General features: G+C 38.3%; 1 protein-coding gene across 11 annotated transcripts in view, besides 1 other annotated feature; it reads right to left on the reverse strand.

Moving 5' to 3' along the window:
• Nucleotides 1-1,952: 1,952 nt before the first annotated feature.
• The window catches only part of SGMS1 (sphingomyelin synthase 1), a 319,585-nt gene continuing 300,030 nt past the window's right edge, over nucleotides 1,953-21,507 (reverse strand). For 9 of the 11 annotated variants that reach the window (XM_047424974.1, NM_147156.4, XM_047424973.1 and 6 more), the window contains 3 exons: nucleotides 7,615-7,768; nucleotides 4,335-4,501; nucleotides 1,953-3,674 (listed from right to left, as the gene is read on the reverse strand). In XM_047424974.1, coding sequence (XP_047280930.1) covers nucleotides 3,495-3,674; nucleotides 4,335-4,501; nucleotides 7,615-7,768 — 501 coding nt within the window. In that variant the 3' untranslated portion in view covers nucleotides 1,953-3,494. Of the gene's footprint in view, nucleotides 3,675-4,334; nucleotides 4,502-7,614; nucleotides 7,769-21,507 lie in introns of those variants that run through there. The other 2 variants (XM_047424982.1, XM_047424981.1) reach the window with 2 other exon arrangements.
• Nucleotides 9,440-9,939: an enhancer, noted in NCBI's record as "H3K4me1 hESC enhancer chr10:52072847-52073346 (GRCh37/hg19 assembly coordinates)". NCBI's record gives its function as "activates a minimal SCP1, AML or CMV promoter by ChIP-STARR-seq in naive H9 embryonic stem cells {active_cell/tissue: H9 hESC(naive)}" and the evidence as "EXISTENCE:reporter gene assay evidence [ECO:0000049][PMID:30033119]".

Below are 21,507 nucleotides of genomic sequence, written 5' to 3' on the forward strand. Positions count from 1 at the left end.
GTACTGTAAACTAGGAGATGGATAAGTATTTTAAGGTGCTGATAAGCAGAATACCAAGTCAACAGCTTTGATTTGTTCAAATTGTTTCTTGACTACAGGGAGAAAAAAAAATAAAGGATGTCAATATCTAGTGATCCAAGCAACATATTGTTTTCTAGTAAATTCAGAAATCTGGTTGACTTTTTGTATATTGGTGGTCAAATTAAGGTTGGCATGCATTTCCATTGTATGAGGTATTATGAGATATTTATCACATTGATCAAAATTTGGCATGTGCTTGGGATACAAATAAAACATATAGCAATTAGGAAATCAGTCAAATTTTCCTCTCACACCTTATGGTGTAAATTTCTTGCTCCTCAGTCCATGGTGAGAGTATGCTTTACCACCATAGGCATAGGTTTCTCTCACTGCAGACTCTTACTGAAGAGTTTATGAAAGCTCACAGTATTGATGGGGGAGGGGGGAAACTTGGCTTCCAATAGGACTTTTACCAGTTACCAGTTGCATGCCCTTGGGCAAGTTATTTAATATATCTGAGTCACTTTGGTTGGTCTATCTGTAAAATGGCAATAATAATTACACTTTGTGGATGTGTGAGGGTTAACTAATACATGTAAAATGTCTAACTTAAGTGAGCCAAAAAAAAAAAAAAAAAGACATTGAGAAAGCACATGTCCTTATACAGGCAATCCTTACCAAGTGTACAATGATACTCTAGAATACAATGAGCTTTCTCCTTGTCCTTCCTGGGATTTGCACACTAGAGACCCAGAAGATATGTCAATTCATGAATCAGTGTAGTCAGCCATGAAGAACAATCAGCAGTGGATTTCTTGATACATATGTGGCATGTAAACTCATAACAAATTTTTATATAATGATTTCTAGTTTTTTAGGGAAAAAATCCTATTTTTAGCAAGTGCCAATATATCATTTCCACTTACTCAATTTACTTTCCCTTCAATATGGCAGCAGCTGATAGTCAAAGTTAGTGAAAGGCTATAACAGTTAAATAAAGACCTATCCAAGGGTTTGGCTCTATTTGCCTAAAGAGGCCACCACATTTCCCCTGTCTGATACACAAGTTTAAAGCCCCACACAGGAAAAGTTTTACTGGTTCTAATTTCCTTTTTTTTTTTTTTCGGAGATAGAGTTTCACTCTTTTGCTGGGGCTGGAGTGCAGTGGCACGGTCATGGCTCACTGCAGCCTCTGTCTCCCGGCCTCAAGCGCTCCTCCCACCTGTCTCCTGAGAGGCTGGGACCACAGGCATGTATCACCGTGCCAGGTTAATTTTTGTATTTTTTGTAGAAACTGGGTTTCATATTGATCAGGCTGGTCTTAATCTCCTGGGTTCAAGTGATCAGCCCACCTCGGCTTCCCAAAGTGCCGGAATTACAGGCGTGAGCCACCACACCTGGCCTCTGGTTTTACATTTCTAGCCTCCTTAACACATCCTTTATCAAAGACACATCTCCACTGTTGACATTTTCCTTTAGTCACCACATCAGAAATAATAATAACCTTTTATTCTTTTTAAATAGTTATTTTCCATTACCACTGGTTTATCATAGTACTATTACTCTATTTCTCACTTTGGATTTACTTTTCCTTTCCATCTACACTGGAGAAGCTATATTACTGCCAGATATAGGAAAAAAAACAATTTGGTTGAGAATTAGAGAATTCAAAATGTTAGTAAACATTGTTCTAAAGTTTGAATTTAACTTACATGTGACTCTTTTTATATATTAAAAAACTCTCTAGAATTTACTAAAGATTAGAATATATTTTAAGGAATCCCAAGGAAAAAAATCCAGATAATTATTAAAAGTCCCATGTCAAGCAGAAACACTCCATGAAGAAATTCTGAAACTGATTTTCTATCTTGCTTTAATGGCTCCATTTATGACTTCTGTGAAGAATGTGAACACAGTAGAAATAACAGCCATTTATTTTAAGTATCAGTTTTTATTAAAAAGTGCATTTTGATTAATTTATGATCTAGGTAAGCTGTAAGATACCAGTATACTCTCTGGAATAATAACTTTACAAAGATTTAAAACAAACAAAATTTTAAAAGCCTTTTTATTTCCTTCACCATTATTGTTTTACAATACAAATATCACCTTGTGAATACACAAAAAAATCCTACGGAAGATAATTCTGCTGCACGTAAAATACAGAATGGATATATATACTTCTTCATTCTTAAAAAACTATTTTGTTCTCCACATTGGCAAGTATAGAATAGAATACTTCCCCAAACATATGTATGTTAGGAGTAAAACTTAGAGTTACATGCAGTTTCTGCACAAATATCTTTTAAAGAAATAGATCTCTTTTTTGTTGTTCACCAACAAAATTGTCATGAGAGTATGGATAACTAATTCATAGCTTTCAAGTTTTAGGTAAGTGATCATTTTCAAAACTCTCTTTAAGAAAAGATATTCATGGCTGTTTTCATTGAGTAGTTAAAATTGAACTACCAAATCGACGATAAAATAATTTAAGTGGTACATGTCATTGCTACCTGATCACAATATGTGAACAGGCTCTGACTCTAATTAACAACCTCATTATTTAAGTCATTGCAATTTTAAAACCATAAGCAGTCTTCTGATTCAATTTAGCTATAAATGCAAAATTTAGTAGTGTATACATATATTTATATTTTCAAGGAATACTTTATTTTAAATAAAAACATTTAAGATTGCCTACTGACCATACAATCAAGACAAGAAAGGCACTAGAAACATAGACAAATTTCTCTCCCAAGATGCATTTTTAAATTTTAACTCTCTTCTCTCTGACATGTTAAAAATCTTTAAATTTGGTGTTCATAACATCATTTTGAAAAATAAAGTTAGGAAATACTTAGAAAATCACTTTATAACAGAATCTTTTTTTTTGCACTTTTTGAAACACTGCCTTTGCTGATTTTACAAAACCCAAAGTTACCAAACCTTTCTGTGTCTATCATTTTTATTTGAATATCGGTGCAACAGGTAGAAAGATTTCAGAATCAAACCCCATTCAGGTACTTAGAAACCTTCATAGAGACATTTGCTAGAAAATGGCTTACAGCCCAATCTTTGGGGCAAGAGATATGAAAAGTATGTTTTCCCAAGAAAATAATACGCTTTATTTCCAGATGTGACTGGAAAGACCAGAACTTATGATATAAAAGCTTACATTTATGCTGCTGCATCATATACAAAGGAACATGGTGGTTGCGGGTTATGTAAATCCCAAACTTATGAACAGGAAATGTGTACAGTGCATGATAGGTTAAATTTTTCTTTATTGTTGTCCAACGCAGGTCCTTTGGAGAGAAAAAAAGATCACAGTGCTGACCAGGTAACTCAATAGGTTAAGTCAAGGTAACCATTGAAAGATAATAGGATTAGGGAGGTGTTTATTTTATGGCATCTTCTCTCATGGAGTTCTTAGCACTTCGGACAATTTGTCTTTTCCCCACTTTGTACAGCTGTTATGTGTCATTCACCAGCCGGCTGTATTTAACTTGCCTACTGAGGTGGACTACTGGCCAGGGGAAAGGCCAATGGTAAGATCGAGGTACAATTCCTTGGACATTCTTTTCAAAGTACTGAAATGGCCTGTACCACCACACCCTGGCCAGGAGGTTCATCTGGGAAGCTTCCTTTAGCACCTAGGATAACAAAGAAACATAAACACATTTCTTACAATCTTTCACTTTAAGTTCAAATACTTGCCACGCTAAAATTCCCAAAGGACTCCATACCTGCCCTGCGTGTCCACCCACATATCCCAGCTTCTCTCTCTCATCACCATTCTACACTCCACATTCATCTACAAACTGAGCCACATCCCAGTAGAAAAACAACGCCAATTCTGGGAGGGCAAGGAGAACTTATGGCTCACTCATCTCTTGCTTATAAATAAACACCTCAGTTAGCTTTTTAGGTATTCCTCTTCTATGCTAAAAATGTTAACACTTAATTAAATGTTAAATATTAAGCTTGTGATGTGCCCCGGGTAGGGAGAAGAGGATAGGAAAGCAAATCAAGCAAGGAGGGACACAAGCTTAGAAAATATTTTTCATTTTTCAAGGACAATGAAAGTGCGTTCCTTATTCTAGAAGGAAGTAATTCCTCACATCATTATATTAATAAACTTTTTATTCTTAATTCTGAAGAGAATCAATGTCACAAAAAAACAATACAATCTTAGTTGATTACTACTTAAGAAAGAGAAACTTCAGACATCCACAGGTTCTTTGCACCCTGTCCAAGCCAGCAACATCAAGCCAGAAACAACAGAAGCTAAAATCAAAAGCGGGGAAACTCACTTGCTGATTGGCCATAGTGTGATACCACCAGAAGAGTCTCGTGGTGATGTAATATGCCACCACCACGTCCACAGTGTAGTGGTCATGCGCTAAGAGAATACAGAAGATTCCAACTACGCTGAGAAGCCAGCAAATCCAGTGATACCACCAGAGTCGCCGAGGGGAATCTGAAAGGGGGAGAGATTTGCAATAGTCCCATTATTCAAATGACATTAAGGGCACCCAACTATGCCTCTACTAATGCTTCTGAATCCAATTACCTTGAGTCTTCCCTTCTGAAAACAGATCTAGTGAATCTAAGGGCTGTCATTTATCTGTAACCAAGGTTAGAACAGAAACAGCTTTTTATGATGTGATTATACTAGTGATAGTAATTCATATTTGGTTCTTACTTGATTCATACAATCATAAATAGAGTTTAAAAGATGAGGCTAATCAAATAAGGACAGGTTAATGCATCATGTTTCGTTTTTAAAAACTGTCCATTGACATTTAAATTTACCTCTAGCTAATTTGGGGTTGATGCTCTACACAAAAATCAATACCTTTTGGCCCACAGAGCCTAATACAAGGACTAAGCAGTCATAACTGATTTAACTGTACTGCTTTCCAAGTTCTGCAACCATACACTAATCTGAAAGTCTTTGAGATTTTCATTTCTCAAATACAAGCAGAAAAGCATCCAGACGCCTGGGAATTCTAGTTCAAGTGCCTTCTCAAAGGTCGAATGGTGTCAGATAAATACTTGTCTGTATCCCCATTTGGGAAATTACCTGAGAAAAACATCAAAATTTCTATTAGTGCAGGCCTTTCTACCTTGGATTCTCAATTGTGGGATTCAGAGGCTCTGCAGTGTTAGGCAAAATGTTGTTTGAATATGATCTATACTCTCTACACCAGCATGACAGGTTCAGACTTTTATTGGATTCTCAATGGGTCCAAGAACCAGTCATTCATTCAACCAATATTCATTGAGCCTCTTACATGCCAGGGACAGGCAATGCTCTAGATACCTGGATCAATGAATAAAAAAGGCAAGGAGGCTGCCTTTGTGGGAAGATCCCTTCCTAGTGGGGAAGAGAGATAAGAGACAATACTTATAATAAATAATTTACACATTATGTTAGGTGTTAAAGGCTGTGGAAAAATAATAAAGTTGAGCTGGATAAGGGGGATCAGAAGTATAGGGAGTGAAGGGCAGTTTGCAATTTTAAATGGAGCAGTTAGGGTAGGAATATTCTAGTAATATTTGTATTTGATACCTTGACAATACAAAAACAAGAAACAGCTACCATTCAGTCTCTGTGTGACTCTATTAGTATCCATATATGCCATCTAATTTTAATGTTCATAAACTTTTTCCCACCCGATGAAGCAGATGTGAATATCTCATTCTAAACATGAGGAAACTAAGACTTAGGTTAAAGTTTCTTCCCAGGGTCATAGAGCTAGTAAGTGATAGTACCAACGCCTCTGCCTCTCAATATGACACATTGCCTTATTGTCAAGATGGATAAGCCTTGACCCCGTTAAAGAATTTCAGGTATCAGGCAGCAGGAGCCAGGAATCCCTCCCCCAGGGGTGCTGACATCTGGCCTATGTGATTCCTACTGTCCACATCCAGTTACATTCCAGTCCAAAGGCTAGATTATGCCCTGACAATTCTGAACAGATCTTGCTAGAACTCACTATATCTGCTCACGTACTAAGTATAAGCACTGGAACATCTATTCTCCCTTTTCTATCTCAGTGCCCTGAAGTGCATCTCTCTTCCCTTCCTGTATTTCCTTATCTTAGTTTTTCAAGAACAAAACTAGGTTTCGACCCAGTCCACTACCTGTTTTCTCTACCCCATAATCCATCCTGTTATCTGCTGACTCTCTTTATTAATGTCTTAAAGTGTCTGTCACTTCTCTCCATCCCTGATGCCATCAGGCTAGTTTCCTTTGTTACTGCAGCAATCTCCTAACTTTTCTCCCGGTCTCCAGTTTGGTCCCCCATCCAGTCCATCCTGCAAGCTGCTGCAAGAGTGATTTTTCTCTCTTCAAAGACAAATGACACTGCCCCACTGGTTACAACCCCTCAATGGGCACCCGATCTACATCAGCTGAGAGTTCAGACCCTCTTCTTGTGGCTTAAGCACCCCCTGTGATCTGGTTCCCACTTACCTGTCCATTCTTATTATTACCCCTACTCTGAATTCCACCCACTTAAACTTCCAGAGAGTACCACATGCTCCCAAGACACCTCCAGAAGGCAAAGCATCTCCCTCCTCTGTGATACCACAGCAGCCTGGTTCTACTCATTGCTCTTCATGGAAACCCCCCTGTATAATGCTTATCAGACTGTTTCTAACAATGTGATATTGAGCATAATAAAATTTTCCATAAGTAGAGAAATGAATAAATATGTGTAGTTCATTTCTAGCACTGTAATATTAATAGCAATTAAAGTGAATGGACCAAAATCTCATATCTCAAAAACATAATTTGAGGGTAAATAGTGGCAGAAGAATATAAATGGCAGTATGCCATTTATGTATATAAATTTAAAAAACCACAAAACAATAATACACAAGTCCAAAAAAATGGATGGAAATGATATAGGAAAGGAATGAAAAGGTTTTAATCATATATTAACATTTCATTTCCTTTCTAAAAGGGTTATCTGAATTAAATATGACAAAATGCTAATATATATTAAATCTGAGCCATGTATGCGGTATTTATAATATTATTTTGTGATTTCACAATAAAATATTTTAAGTACGTTTCTTAAGGGAAATTTCCCATTTAGTATCTGCCTCAGCCCTGAGCCCATGGCCTTGTTGAGGACAGGGATGAGTCTGACCCATCACTGTACCCTCAGGCATGTAGCATAGTGCCAAGTGCTGAAAAAATAGTTGCTGCATCAACACATAATCTACCATCACCCAATCAGGCTTGATACTGGATTTCTGTGTCCCTTTGAGATTTCCATCTGGCTCCTTACAGCAGCTGTATAACTGGCTCATAACACACCCTGCAGGCTGTGCTTGGAACTGCCTCCACCCCAGTACTACAGATGACACTCCAGGACACCTCGTCCTCAGGAAGACCAGTTCTGTCCTTCCACATATTTCCCTGGGTGCCAGTTGCATGGCGATGAGATGAAGCTGCAAGCCTCCTGAAGCCTCCAGTCTTGCTTCAGCAGATTTTCCAGAAAATGAGCTTTACCAGAGGACCAGAGTTCATGAGAAATGGCAGGTGAGGAAATTACAATGGAAGTCTTTTAGACTTACACTCTTTGATAAATAAGTAGGTAAGTGTTAGCATGACCGTGTGGCCGCTGTACAGATAGTCCCCACACATGTTGTGAGAGCCAGTGATAGACAAGCCACCTCCAGCAATGAGCTTCATTATTCTTCGCAGTTGGGCTTCCCAGTCTCCGAAAAGCTGGCAGAAAAAAAGAAAAGAAGAAAAAGAAGATTCATTACGAGCCCACATGAAAATGTGCGAAGATTACTATTCATATCCAGAATTAAGCTTATATTAAGAAACATAAAATCCCCACCAGGAAGTTTGCCCACTCAGTGTTTACCATTCCAAGAGTAGCCCTTGGGGCGGGGGGGTGGGATGGTCCTACAAATGAATCACGTGGCTTCAGGACTTTTCACAGTTAGCACTTTTTAAAGCACGTGTCAGTAGATGTTTCCCCAGTTTTTCAAAAATTACAATGACAGAGAAACAGTACTTCTATCTGACTGACTGAATAATTGCTTTAGTATAACTATCATTTGGGAAAAATAAAATTTAAATCTGTAGTCTAGGAAAAATTTAAAGATGTATTTTTATCATGGTTGGCCTAGAAGACAACTGTCCTACTACACTTGGCTAAAGCAGCTGAAGGTTTGGGTAGTCAAATATATGAATATTTTTGGTATGTGGATGTTCAGGGATCATGTTGAAACAAGGGATGTGCCTTTAATCTTCTCAAATTATGTAGGTAACATTGAATAATTTTCCAGATTATAAATTAATTTACCTGTCTATGATACAAGTCTGGGCTGGACACCGGAGTAATAAATAGCTTGAACAACTCATTCATTACAACCTTTATTTGCTCGGTCAAGTAAAATGTGTAACTGTCTATATTTTATGCTTGTTAGTACTCTTTTAAATTCTGGTTGTCTAATTTAATTACCATGATCCAATTTAATTAAATTCTGGTTGTCCAATTTAATTACCATGATTTCAATATTTAACTTATAAGAATCTAGCTTTGGGCAACATGTTTTATTATAATTTCCTTTTAAAAAATTATCAAGACTTCTGATTAAGGATGGAAGGATGATACATCAGTGAAGTGTGAGAAATTAAAAAAAAAAAAAAAAAAGAATGGCAGATGGAGCACACCACACAGAGGATATAAATTTCCAAATCCAAAGAGATCACTGAATGCTCAACATAATGGAAGAAAACAGATCTACATATCAAGACTCAGCATCATGGGATTTTAGAATCTGGGGACTAAGAAGAGACTCTAAAGCCTCCAGAGATTAAAAACAAGCTTTACATGAAGGATCATTAGAATAAGACTTTTCAAAAGCCACACTGAAAAACAGAAAGCTTTGAGAAAATGCCTTTAGATTTTGTGGGAAAATGATTTCCCACTTAGAATTCTGTACCCAGCCATATTACTACTAAGCATAAACTGAAGGATAAACTAAGGATAAATTAAAGCCTTTTTCATATATACACGATTTAAAAATATTTACCGCTTATATACTCTTTTCCAGGAATCACAGAGGGTACAGTCTCCAAAACAAGGGAGTAAACATGGAGAAAAGAAGAAATGGGACTCACTACGATGCCAAAAAAGGAGAGATGAAGGACTTCACAGTAGCTCACAAGTTTGGGCTGGAAAGCAAACAGCCAGAATGCTCTGGAGGGATGTCATCATGGAGATGAGCCCAACAGAATACCCAATGCCTCTGGCTGTATTGAGAGGAGTTTCATAACTTGGGGGTGAGTAAGTGCAAAGAAAACTACTAAAGCAAAAAACCAAGGCAATTACTAACTCTACAGGAAACAAAATGTTGTGCAGAGAAGGAAAGTAATTCTAGGAAACGACATGACTTGGCCATGAATAGCATTTACAGAACTGTAATAATGTAAGCACTGCATATTGAGCTAAACGAAGGACAAAGAACTGCACAGCAAAGACAGGATAGGAAACTTGAACGTGTGTAGTGGAGATGGGGTCGGAGGGTAGGGATCATGAAGGAGGAGTCACAGACGGACACTAAAGCTTTGCCTTCTACAGCAGAAGTCAGTAACGGTGAATGCCTATATTCAAAAATTACAGAGTAACAATATCTCATGTCACGTGGAGACACAAAAGTAAACACATTAAAAAATCTAAAAAAAAGAGTGAATGACAAAGAGTTAAATACCACAAGGTTCAGCTAAAAGAGTTGAAGGAGAATAGGAAAAGGCGCTGTTGGGGTCAGGACCAGGAGACTACTGTTTTTTCACATCGAGTTGTGTAGAACCATTTTAGTTTTCAAATTGCATGCCTGCATAAACATTATAATTTTTTTTAAAGTTTCAAATTAAAAGTTTGGTCCAGTTCTGTTATAACAATGGATAAAATGTAGAAGAAAATTATGGCAAAAAAGCTTGGGTATTTCTTCATTTTACATTATTTCATAATGCTTTTCTAAAATTCCCTCTGTGTTTTAAAAATGATAAATCATATTCTCAAGGCAGCATCACCCATACTTTGTCCTCTCATTTGAGCAAGAAAATCTTTGTGGTGAAACAATGTGTTTGGGCAGAAAGGAGAAATTATGAAGTAAACCTGGCACTGAGGAAAAAGGCAAAAATTTAATGCTGTATTTCTTACAGGTACCCTTAGAGACCCTAAGCTTCCTTTTCAAAATATCTTCCTATGTTTATCAAACTTCTGCAAAGGGAAAACCTCTTTAAGCTTAGTGAGAAATAGAAAAAGAGAAAGAAAAATTTAAATTATGTTTAAAAAAAGCAAACAAAATACAAGACAAATTACAAAACAGTTGCAGCAGAAACAAGTTAATATCTATATTGTTTACATAGCACAGAGAAATCAAGTAAAATAAGACCAACTTAGGAAACAAAACTTATCAAAGGACAAGGGATGTGACCACATAGAGGCATAAATTCTGTCAAACAAATATAAATAAAAATGAACATAACAGGAGCTCATTTTCCCATGTTGAATTAGCAAAGCTTAAAAGAAAAAAGAGTGAGCTAATGGTGAGGCAAGCACAAGGACGGCGAGGCTTGTTTAAATGGAGGGGATGGGGGGAAGCAGTGGCTGTCTCCAAAGTAGTGCAGGGGAAGAGCAGGCCACGAAACAGATATCTGCGGGTAAAATCACAGCTCTTCGAATGATTTGCTGTGTGACCTTATACAGCTGAACCATTCTAAGCCTCGATTTCCTCATCTACAATTTGGGAAGAATATATTTATTATCACTGGCAAAATCTTCTGAGAAAATAATCACCAATAGTTTACCAGCAATTTAAACAGTCATAACTTCTGACCCAGTCACATTGCTTCTAGGAGTCTACCTCAAAGAAATAATACCAAATATGAAGAAAAGTTCTATGTGCAAAAATATCCCACTGTAACACTAATCACAAAAGCAACAGGCTGGGCGTGATGGCTCATTTCTGTAATCTCAGCACTTTGGGAGGGTCGCTTGAAGCCAGGAGTTTGGGACCAGCCTGGGCAACATGGCGAGACTGTCTGTACAAAAAATGTAAAAGTAAGCTGGATGTGGTGGCATGTGCCTGTAGTCCCAGCTACTTGGAAGGCTAAGGTGGGAGGATCCTTTGAGCCTAGGAGTTCAAGGCTACAGTGAGCTACAATCATACCGCTGCACTTCAGCCTGGGCAACAAAGTGAGACCCTGTCTCTAAAAAAGAAAGCAAAAAACTGGAAACAACCTAAATGGGAACTGTTAAATAACTATTCAAAACCTGGTCTTTCTAGGGACAGTATTGGCAAGATGGGGTGCCTGCTGTAAATGCATTCTCAGGTCCCAAGGTAGACCAGTGAACCAGAATCTAAGGTAATTTAAATGCACATTAAGATTTGAGAAGCCCTGAACCAGCCTACAGCTGTTTACCAAATTATTTAAAAATAAGTTTACAGTGACTGTATAGTAAGTCTAGATTGTAAGCATATTCCTCTATTAAGAGAAAAAAACAGGAAACACAATGTTTGGTATAATTATAACTGTTTTACAAACACTATGTGCAGAAAAAGTCTAGAATGTAACATATTAAATGTTAACAGGGTTAGCTTGGAAATTGGTAGGCTTTCTTCCACTCTCTGTCCTGGTGTGGCTTCCCTTCCTTTCCTTTGGCCAGAAAGAGAGGGATTCCCTTGGAGCTCTGTCTGCACCCAGAGTGCAATTCTGGGATGTGCACTGCCTTTGAAATCAGGCAGGAAATGTGAATGGAAAAAAGAAAAGAAAAGAACAAAATGAAACAGGAAACTCTGGACTGGGTCTTTCATACCTTGCATTTTGGTTTCCTTCCTCCATCTGCCCACTATCATTTGCTTTTGATTCCTCAAATAGCTGATCCATATATTCTGCCCAGTGTTTTTTGGCTGCATTCAGTGTGAAAGAAAGATGGAGTGTGCTTACTCCATTATAACTGGAATTGAAACCTTGCCTATCAGTAGCTTTTGAATGTCTATTTTTGAAAGCAGAGATAATTTAAGGGAGACATAAAAACTTTCAGTGGATACTACAAAGCTGTGACAAGAAAGTCTCATATCTACACCACTATGTGCATTATGGTTTCCCAGGGTCACAGAAAACCAATAACCAGTAAAAACAGGCAATATTCTTCAAATTCTAATGAACTACCAAGAAATTAGGTAAATTGGCCAAATCACTTACACAATACCAAAGCACAGAAAAAAAGAGCAGAAGGAAGAGGGAAAGGCTTTTGAATGAGACACACTATCAGGTACATTTAGAACCAGTGAGCCTTTGGTTATGAAAGACACAGGTTTCCCAGTATTTTTTCAGTGCTAACATAATGTACTGATGACAGTCAGTTTGCCATCATTCAGTTTGCAGATGGCTTAGAGCACTGGCTTTTTCTAACTACATTTGCAGAGCAGGGGCACTGACTGTACTTCAGCCCCATTAGGAGGAAGGGGGTAACCTAGAACTAAAACCCATCAAATAATGCTGCACAAATTAATGGCTTTCATAGCTTTGACAGCTTTGGTATAGCTTTGTTGAAGAGCTGAAAGTGAGTACTAAGGAGCAGAAATGCGATTTAAAATAAGCATTGACAATCGCTAATGCTGCAGCCTAGAGCAGCCCAGGAAAGTCAGCAAGGCAGACCCTATCTGCTGTAGGTCTCCAGTGTTGGAGCCGAGCCTAGAATCCAAGTCCTCTGACTATTTAAATGTGCTATTTACAAAACTATATGCTGCCTTGTGCACAGCTTGGCCCTCACAAGCTTGGATAAACCAGGAACTTGATACATACAAAGGAACTTTTCCTTCAGCAGCCTAGGTACCTTGCAGAAGTAATATTATACTATTCCAACTACCATGAACAGCCAGACATTTTCTCAAAGTCCCTCTCTCCCTCCTATTAAGGTAAATTATTTTGTTCTGTTCCCAAAGAGCAGTCTTCCTCCAGAATAGAAAATTCATTATCATCCACAAAATGCTAAAAAGGCTGCTGTTAAAACACTCAGACCAAAGACCAAATCCAATACACGAATCAAGTAACAGGATCAGGAGGAGGAATGGTAGAATCCTCATCAATCTGCATCTTCAGCAGCCTGCAACTGAGAAACACACCTTACACACTGTGGTGTCCCTCAACATCAACTTCCCAAGTGGCCCAAAACAGCAAAACTATGCCACTTCCCCAATTTCAACTGGCATGTAACAGCCCTCCTAACCGTGACACTTAGAACTAGTGAGCTTTTGGCTATGAAAAAAGAGGTTTCCCCAAGTATTTTTCAATGCTAACACCATGTGCTCATGAACAGAAAATTCATTTCATCCATGAAATGCCAAAAATGCTGCTCTTAAACACTCAAATCAAAGACCAGATCTGATAAAGGAATCAAGCAGCAGAATTATTGTAAGTTATGAAATGTCCTTTAGCCTGACTTTGTAGTCCCCACCAGGAAGGTAATGTGTTTGAAAGTGTGATGAATGCTTTAGATTTCAAAGCAGCAATGAAGAGGCTCAAAGCTGCCTCTTACAATTTCTCCGGCCTTATTTTACTGTTGGTCAGTAAAAACATGACTTACAGGGTAGTTTTACAAAATAAAACAATATCTTTTGTTTGTACACAGATTCCAACATTTTAGCAGTGTTTTCCCATCAGTTATCTCACTGTATCTTCACAAGCTTGTCAGTTGGTGAGCGTAGTTGTTACTATGCCCATTTAAAAGAGTGGCTTACCGACCAGTACATGAGGTCACACAGAGTGACTCAGTTGGGTTCAGAGCCCAAATGTCTTACCTCTGAGCTAAACAATCTTGCCTTTAGGTCCCTGGAAAACACCTGCTATTGTTGCAAACACCTTTCCAAATAACAAGGACAATACCCAAGGCTGGACAATTTCTCCAGGTTTACTTTTTGTTGTTCTTGTTGTTGTTCTAATGAAATTTAACCAATTTTAAATATGTCATTTATTAATACACGATTGAATAGCTAAAACAACATTTATTCACTATTCACTAACTATTTTTCGTAAGCTTAGTTTTTATTTAAATCAAGCTCCCCTGTCTCTATAAAAGTTATTTCTTTCTTTTTTTTTTTTTTTTTTAGACAGTCTCACTCTCTTGAGAGCCCCGGCTGGAGTGCAATGGCACAATCTCGGCTCACTGCAACCTCCACCTCCTGGGTTCAAGCAATTCTCCTGCCTCAGCCTCCCAAGTAGCTGGGATTATAGGTGCATGCCGCCACACCCGGCTAATTTTTTGTATTTTAGTAGAGACAGGGTTTCACTGTGTTGCCCAGGCTGGTCTCAAACTCCTGAGCTCAGGCAATGTCCACCGCCTTGGGCCTCCCAAAGTGCTAGGATTACAGGCGTGAGCCAACTTGCCCGGCCTATAAAAATCATTTCTGTGGAATTCTTTCACAAACCAATTGCCCATTTTCTGCCTTCTCTCTTCTTAAACAAAGCATTCCCAATTGATTTTAACTTTCCTTGCTTTATATTGTGCTATACTGGTCTCCAAGCTCACTTTTATAGGAACAACAATGAGCATGAATCCAACTTCAAACTGCAGTTTTGGGCTACCATGCAGGTGGCTCTAGACAAACCATTTTACCATCCTAGCCTCAGTTTTCTCACCTGTAAAATGGCAAGAACATTTTCTCATCCTCAACCTCTACCCACCAAAGCAAGACAATGTTTATAAAAGTGATTGCTAAAATAAAGTGTTATACAAATTTCAGGCAGCATTACTTAACAATCCAAGTTAGGTCCATCTTTTGGGGGGTTCTTAAGGGAGAACTCAATGCCTAACAGTCAGCAAGTGAAATCTGGATGATTCTCCTTAAATATAGATCCCTGCCGGACGCTCACTGGTGGCCATCTCTTGATCACTCAAGAGACTTTTATGTGTTCTCTATACATATAGTAATCACTCCACTCCTGGAAAGATGTGGTTTTTACTCACAAATATTATGCCCACCACAACTGATCTAAAGGACAAGAGATTTTACTCCTCTTAGAATTCATACATACAACTTTTAAAATAGACTTTTCCCTTCACTCGGCTGTGAAGAATCTGGCTGTCTACATTTCTCCATTCTCAAATGTACTCATCAATTCCTATACTAGGCAGACTTGTTTTAGGGATAGGGGGTGTCTCTAAGCAATTATCAGCAATAAAACACTAATCTCCCACCAGCCCCTCCTTCCCTCCATCAAAAAAAACTTTTAAATTTTGTTGTAGTCTCTAACCGGAAGACTTATCAAAGGCTTGATAAAATCTTAAATAAAGGTCAGCTATGGATTTCTATTACCCATATTCTTATTTGTCACATTAAAGAAATCCAGCATTTCAGTCAGGCAAGATTTCCCTTTAACAAAATCACATCTCCTTTAAGTGTTGGAGGATCCTTCAGTCTACCTGGTCAGGAAGTGAGATTTGCCACCAAAAAAAAAAAAAAAAAAAATTGCCCTTGGCTTTTTAGTTTGAAAAATTATAAATGTGAAAAAGTAGCAAGTGAGCACCTGTAGACACTTCATTTTGGCTCATTAATTATCAAGATTGTATCACATTTTCTTCTCCTTTCTCTCACTTTTTTTCCTGGGTCCCTTGGGAAGAAGTCGAATAAATTAAAACACCTCACATCTAAACACAGTAACAAGGGCATTCTCTTCTAAAATCACACTTATGAAATTTAACAATTATATAATACTACCATACTTAAAAAACAGTCCATATTCAAACTACTCGATAGTGTCAACAATGTCCTTTAGAGCTTCTTTCCCCAGTCTAGGTTCCAATCAGAGAATACACATTGAGGTTACTTATCATGCCCTGATTTCTTCTTAGTCTACTACAGTTTGTCAGTCTTTTTTTCCCCATGACACTGAAGAGTCCAATCCAGTTTCTTTATAGAATATTGCTTGATTTGGTTTTATCTGAATGTTGCCTTCTGTTTAAATCCAGCTTAAACACTGTTGGCAGGAGTATTCCCGAGATGATGCTGTATCCCTCTCAGTGCATCACATTCAGAAGCACCTGATGTCATTTGTCCTTCTACTGGTTTGTTCACTTGACTATGCGAGTGTCTACTGTATTTCTCCACTAAATACATACCTTTGCCCCTTTATAATTAATAAGCAATCTGTTATTTTTTAAAATTATGTAAATATTATGATCGCCAACCTTTCACACAAGGGCCTTAGCATCCAGTGATGATTCTAAATTATAATACTTGAATTATTACTGTAGTGGTTGCAAAATAGTAATTTTTTATTTCTAAAATTTCTCTTATTAGTTTTATGATTAGTAACTATATATTAGTTATTTAGAGTCATACATGGTTAGCTCTGAGGTTTTTTAGAATTCCCCAGTGAATGCTTTCTGACTCTGGTTACCTCTTCATACCAGATGGCTTCTGCCATGTGGATCATCTTTCTCACCTTCCCAATGCCTCCCAAACATGTCCCCCACTCTGCCCTGGTCTAGGCCTTCCTCATCTCTAATTCAGAAATCCATGCAGAAGCATCATCCGTCTCCCTCACGTGAGTACCAAGAACAGATACTTGGCTAGTCTTCTTGCCTTTGCCACTCAGTACCTATAAGACATTAGGCTGGTCACATAACTCTGAACCAACTGCAATTTTATCCCACTCACTGTTATAAAAATTAAATAAAAACACAACATTTGAATTCGTATCTGGCACAAAACAGGTGCATATAATTTGATACTACTTAAGTCTACTTCCCTCCTTCCCTCCCAAATACCCTACTATCTCTATCAATGGAGAGAGATGCTTCTAAAGACAGATGTGATCAAATAATGCCCCTGCTAAAACTTTTCCTGGCTTCCTATTGCCTATAGATAGAACCACGACTCCTTAGTTGGGTGTCAAGGCCCTTTAAAATCTTCCCACAAGATTGACTGCCTGTCTGGAGTCATCTCTGGCCACTTGCTCCATAAGATCCCATGTCCAGATACATCTAACTTGACCTTATTCCCCAATTCCCTTCCATACCCGTTGTTTCCTCCACCTGGAACCCTTCCTCCCTCTATCTCCACTTGGCAAACTCCTATTCCTCCTTTGAGATTGGGCTCAGAGGCACATCCACAGGGCAGCTCATGCTCCCAGCAGAGGTGCCTCCGGTGTCTGTGCATCCATGGCAAATGGCTCTGCAAATCTACTACAGGGAGTCAGAGGGGGATCTGGGGATTACATTTCTGTCTCTTTCACAGCTTCTGGATGCCCAGAGGGAGAAGGCGCTTGTCTTATATATTGTGTGTCCTCAAAATTTACCAGTATGCCCACATAGGGCAGGTTCTCTAGAAACGTTGCTCAGGAAATAAACAAGCTTCTTGACTATCAAATGAAATCACATCAACAATCTGCCTGTCTCACATTCTGGGAAAGTGGTTTCTTCCTTTTAGTAAGAAAGCCTTTAGAAAGGCTAGAGTTTATACAATAATGTAAAAATTCATACATCAAATGTTAAATATAAGGAGATATGAATAATAAATGCATAGACAGCACCATCAGAATCATGTAAAAAATGCATACATAAGGAACTAATATACTGAATTGTTAATAGTAGATAGGGTCATGAGTGGTTCTAAAATCTTCCTCTTTTTGTAGTCTTTCAATATATCTTTAAAGAATGTATGGTTTATTTAAAATGAAAACATCTCTTTTTAAGTGACAGAGAGAAGTTATTTAGAACATTGCTATCTTTAATCACTGAAAAAGGAAGAGAACAGCAGCAATGAGAGAAAAGGAAAAGCAAAGAACAGATTTAGGATGGGAAACGTTACTGGAAAGTATATGCAAGAAGCAGAAAAAAAAGAATTGAGAACAAACGAAAAGGAAAATTTTAATGACAATCAGAAACTGGAAGACCAGCAGAAAATTATCCAAAATCAAGCATTGACAATTTAAGTTGCACACCATCCAACAGGATGGCAGGAAGTTATTTTGGTAATGGAACACAAGCCATATCCTGAAATACTGATAAGGTTAGCAGGAGCTAATCAGAATATCAAACTTTGTCAGTGTAGAGGGCACCTGGAATACTCTAACTGCTACTCAGGAAAGTAAGAAAGAACTGAAGAAGGCCATAACATCCTAAAGAGCAATGAGTCTGTTGCCTTATAAGACTGAACTTGTGCCAGCATAGGGACCCGTTAGGCTGATGGTTGACATTACAGTTCAGCAGCAAGTCAAAGGAGGTGGTTTCATCTTTCTAATCTGTGCATTGCAGAAAAGCTGACAGTGGCAGAGAAGAATATGAAGGCTGTTCTGCTGTTGCATTTGTATTATATTGATCCACTGAGCGATCAACCTCAGATGCCACCCAGACATAACCCTGTCCAAAAATGGGCTGTGTTCACTTATGTCAGAGGCAAAAATTAAAACAAAACAAAACATGTTTTTCAAGTTCAAGAGAATCATTTCACTGAAAACTCCACATTGGATTAATGCACTAGCCAGCTGAGTGTCCCTGTCTTAATGTACTCTCTCTCTTCTCAAAGGTTTTCAAATCTAAGGTCACCATGGAGACCACAAAACACGCCCAAACATGCATCTCATTTTACTGTTTAGTCACTATTAGATTAACTCATCTGATTATGAAAATGAGAGTCGAAAACAGTGCAAGTTATTTCTTCTCTTCTATTAGCATTAGGCTGCCTGTTTATCTGGGATTTTTTATTTTAAGGAGTTTGTTAAAACAGGAAAAACCTTACCAACGGGAAGCTTACAACACCAAAGAATTCTCAAATATTCTGCCCCTTTTCTAAAGAAACCAGTATCATAAACAGTTGTAAAAAGATGAGAAGAGGGGCCGGGCGCGGTGGCTCACGCCTGTAATCCCAGCACTTTGGGAGGCCGAGGCGGGTGGATCATGAGGTCAGGAGATCGAGACCATCCTGGCTAACAAGGTGAAACCCCGTCTCTACTAAAAATACAAAAAATTAGCCGGGCGCGGTGGCGGGCGCCTGTAGTCCCAGCTACTCGGGAGGCTGAGGCAGGAGAATGGCGTGAACCCGGGAAGCGGAGCTTGCAGTGAGCCGAGATTGCGCCACTGCAGTCCGCAGTCCGGCCTGGGCGACAGAGCGAGACTCCGTCTCAAAAAAAAAAAAAAAAAAAAAAAAAGATGAGAAGAGGTTGTTTTCAGGATGGAACACACGGTCTTTGGAGCTATGATGAGAGTAACATGGGCTAATCAAGGTATCAAAAATTTGGCAGCCTCCAGTGTAAGCCATGCACATGTATACCACCATGGGATATGCCAGAAATTTGCAATCTAGAAACTGAACACATCCACTTCCCTTTTCACTTCCTTTTCCCAGTGGCTTATTATTGCTGCAGAAACATTTATGGGAAGCCTACTTTTCCTCACAGCCTGATCATCTCATAGGATTATTATTTCTCTGAGCGATTATATTTTGTGAAGAGTATACTGCCATCGAGTGAATGAACAATAAGACCAATTTTTATAATCACTACTGTATACTTGTTGAAACATTTTTCTTAGGAGCTGCACATTTTGAGTACTGGCATTAAGGGAAGCATTAAGTACACTAATTACAGCATTTTAATGGCATAGTGAAACCAAGTTTAAGTTCACATGACTGTATTAAGCAGGAAGTCATATTCTAAAGCTCAACTCTCCTCCCTTACAGTTTAGTGATATTGAGTAACTGTCAGAGTATCCACCAAGTGACAGGCCTTAATTGGTATCTCAAATAATAGAATATCCAATTCTGGAAGCACTGTGCTTTCTGTAACTTGTTTCTGGGCCTTTTCATCCATATCCACAGCTTTAACCACCATCCAGAATATGATGATTCACAAATATTTATTTTCCAGCCTGATGTTTCCCTCAGCTTTAGACTATATTGCTAACTATCTTGGACATCACCACTTAGATATCTCACAGATACTTTAAACTCTGTGTTTAATCCAACTCATTAACTCTCATTTCCTCTATACCATGTCATTATACCAGTGTAAAATCCAGCCCTTGGAATCTTTCCCTATTCTCATTCCCTGCATGAAATCTATTATCAAGTTGTATCAATTTGGTCTCTTAAATATTGCTCAAGTCTGTTTCTTCCTCTCCATCCATCCTTAGGGCCAGTAGCTTAGCTTGAGGCCCTTATCACAGCATTTTACACATTTATTACATAAGTTACAAATTTAAACTAACAGATTTTAAGGTGTTTTCCACAAAGGTAGGAACTATATCTACCTTCCTCATGCCTCATACTCTAGCACCCAAAGCACAGTAGGTCCCTAATGTATGTTTGTTAAATCAGTTCTCACTGGATAAATAAGAGTCTAGGGGTTGAAGCATGATGACAATACTAAGTCCTCTTCTTACTTCTGTATAGTGCGTTACACCCACAGAGCCCCTAGAAACTGTCTCCTTCCACACCTATAACTCCTTAAGACAGATTTCAAAAAGCATCATTAGCTCTGCTTTGCCATTTAGGGAGGGAACTGAGGCTCTGAAAAGTTAAATGACTTGCCCAATGCTAGTAAGTGGTTGTGTAAGACTGTCTTAACCTTAACTTTAGTGTTCTTTTTACTATTAGGTAAGTTTGTATTTTTACAGGGGCAATTAAGTTCCCTCTCTGTACAATGGTTCAGAGAGAGATGGAAGATTCAGTGGCGATGATGTTCAGACATCAAATAGAACTTTGGCCTGAGTGACTTTTAATAAGGTTCCTCTCACTTCTGATTCCCTTAGCCCTAGGTATGATTCTAAAGTAGGCAAAGCTGTCCTCTGAGGCTTCTCTCCAGTGTCACCCTTTTCTGTCTTCAGATACTCGTTCTCAGTGGAGGATTCTAGCCCTTGCCTGACCACTGAATTTCTTAAGCTTGATCTGCCATCCAAGAGGCAGCACCAAGCCTTCGAAGCCTTTCCCAACTCTTGTGCCTAGCTTCAGAAGTCTTTCTATTCCACCTGGCAAATATTCTGTTAACAAGCTAAAATTGAATCTAATTAAGTCTGCAGAGCCAACTTTCTATTCAGAGGAAACATAGAGCGACACAAGTCACTTGACACCACAAAGAAACAAATGGATAAATCCAGAAAGTGGGATATTCTGTAGGACTATTAATCTAATGTCTACAGGCTACTGGTAGAGGGGTGAAAGGAAGAAAGGACTGCTTTAGAATTATAGACTTAAAAGACAGAACAAGTAAATGTAATATAAAGATTTTGGACCCTAATTTATACAAACCAACTGTAAAAAAAGGAAAAGCATTTTAAGACAATCAGGATATCGCATCAACTTGTAATTGCTGATATCACAGAATTACTATTAATTTTGTTGAACACCAATAGCATTATGGTTTTGTACTAAAATGTTCACAGTTTTTAGATGCGTACTAAAGTATGTGGAGGTGAAATGACGTTACCTGGGAGTTGTTTTAAA

Source organism: Homo sapiens, chromosome 10, assembly GCF_000001405.40.
Source record: "Homo sapiens chromosome 10, GRCh38.p14 Primary Assembly".
Taxonomy (NCBI): Eukaryota; Metazoa; Chordata; class Mammalia; order Primates; family Hominidae; genus Homo; species Homo sapiens.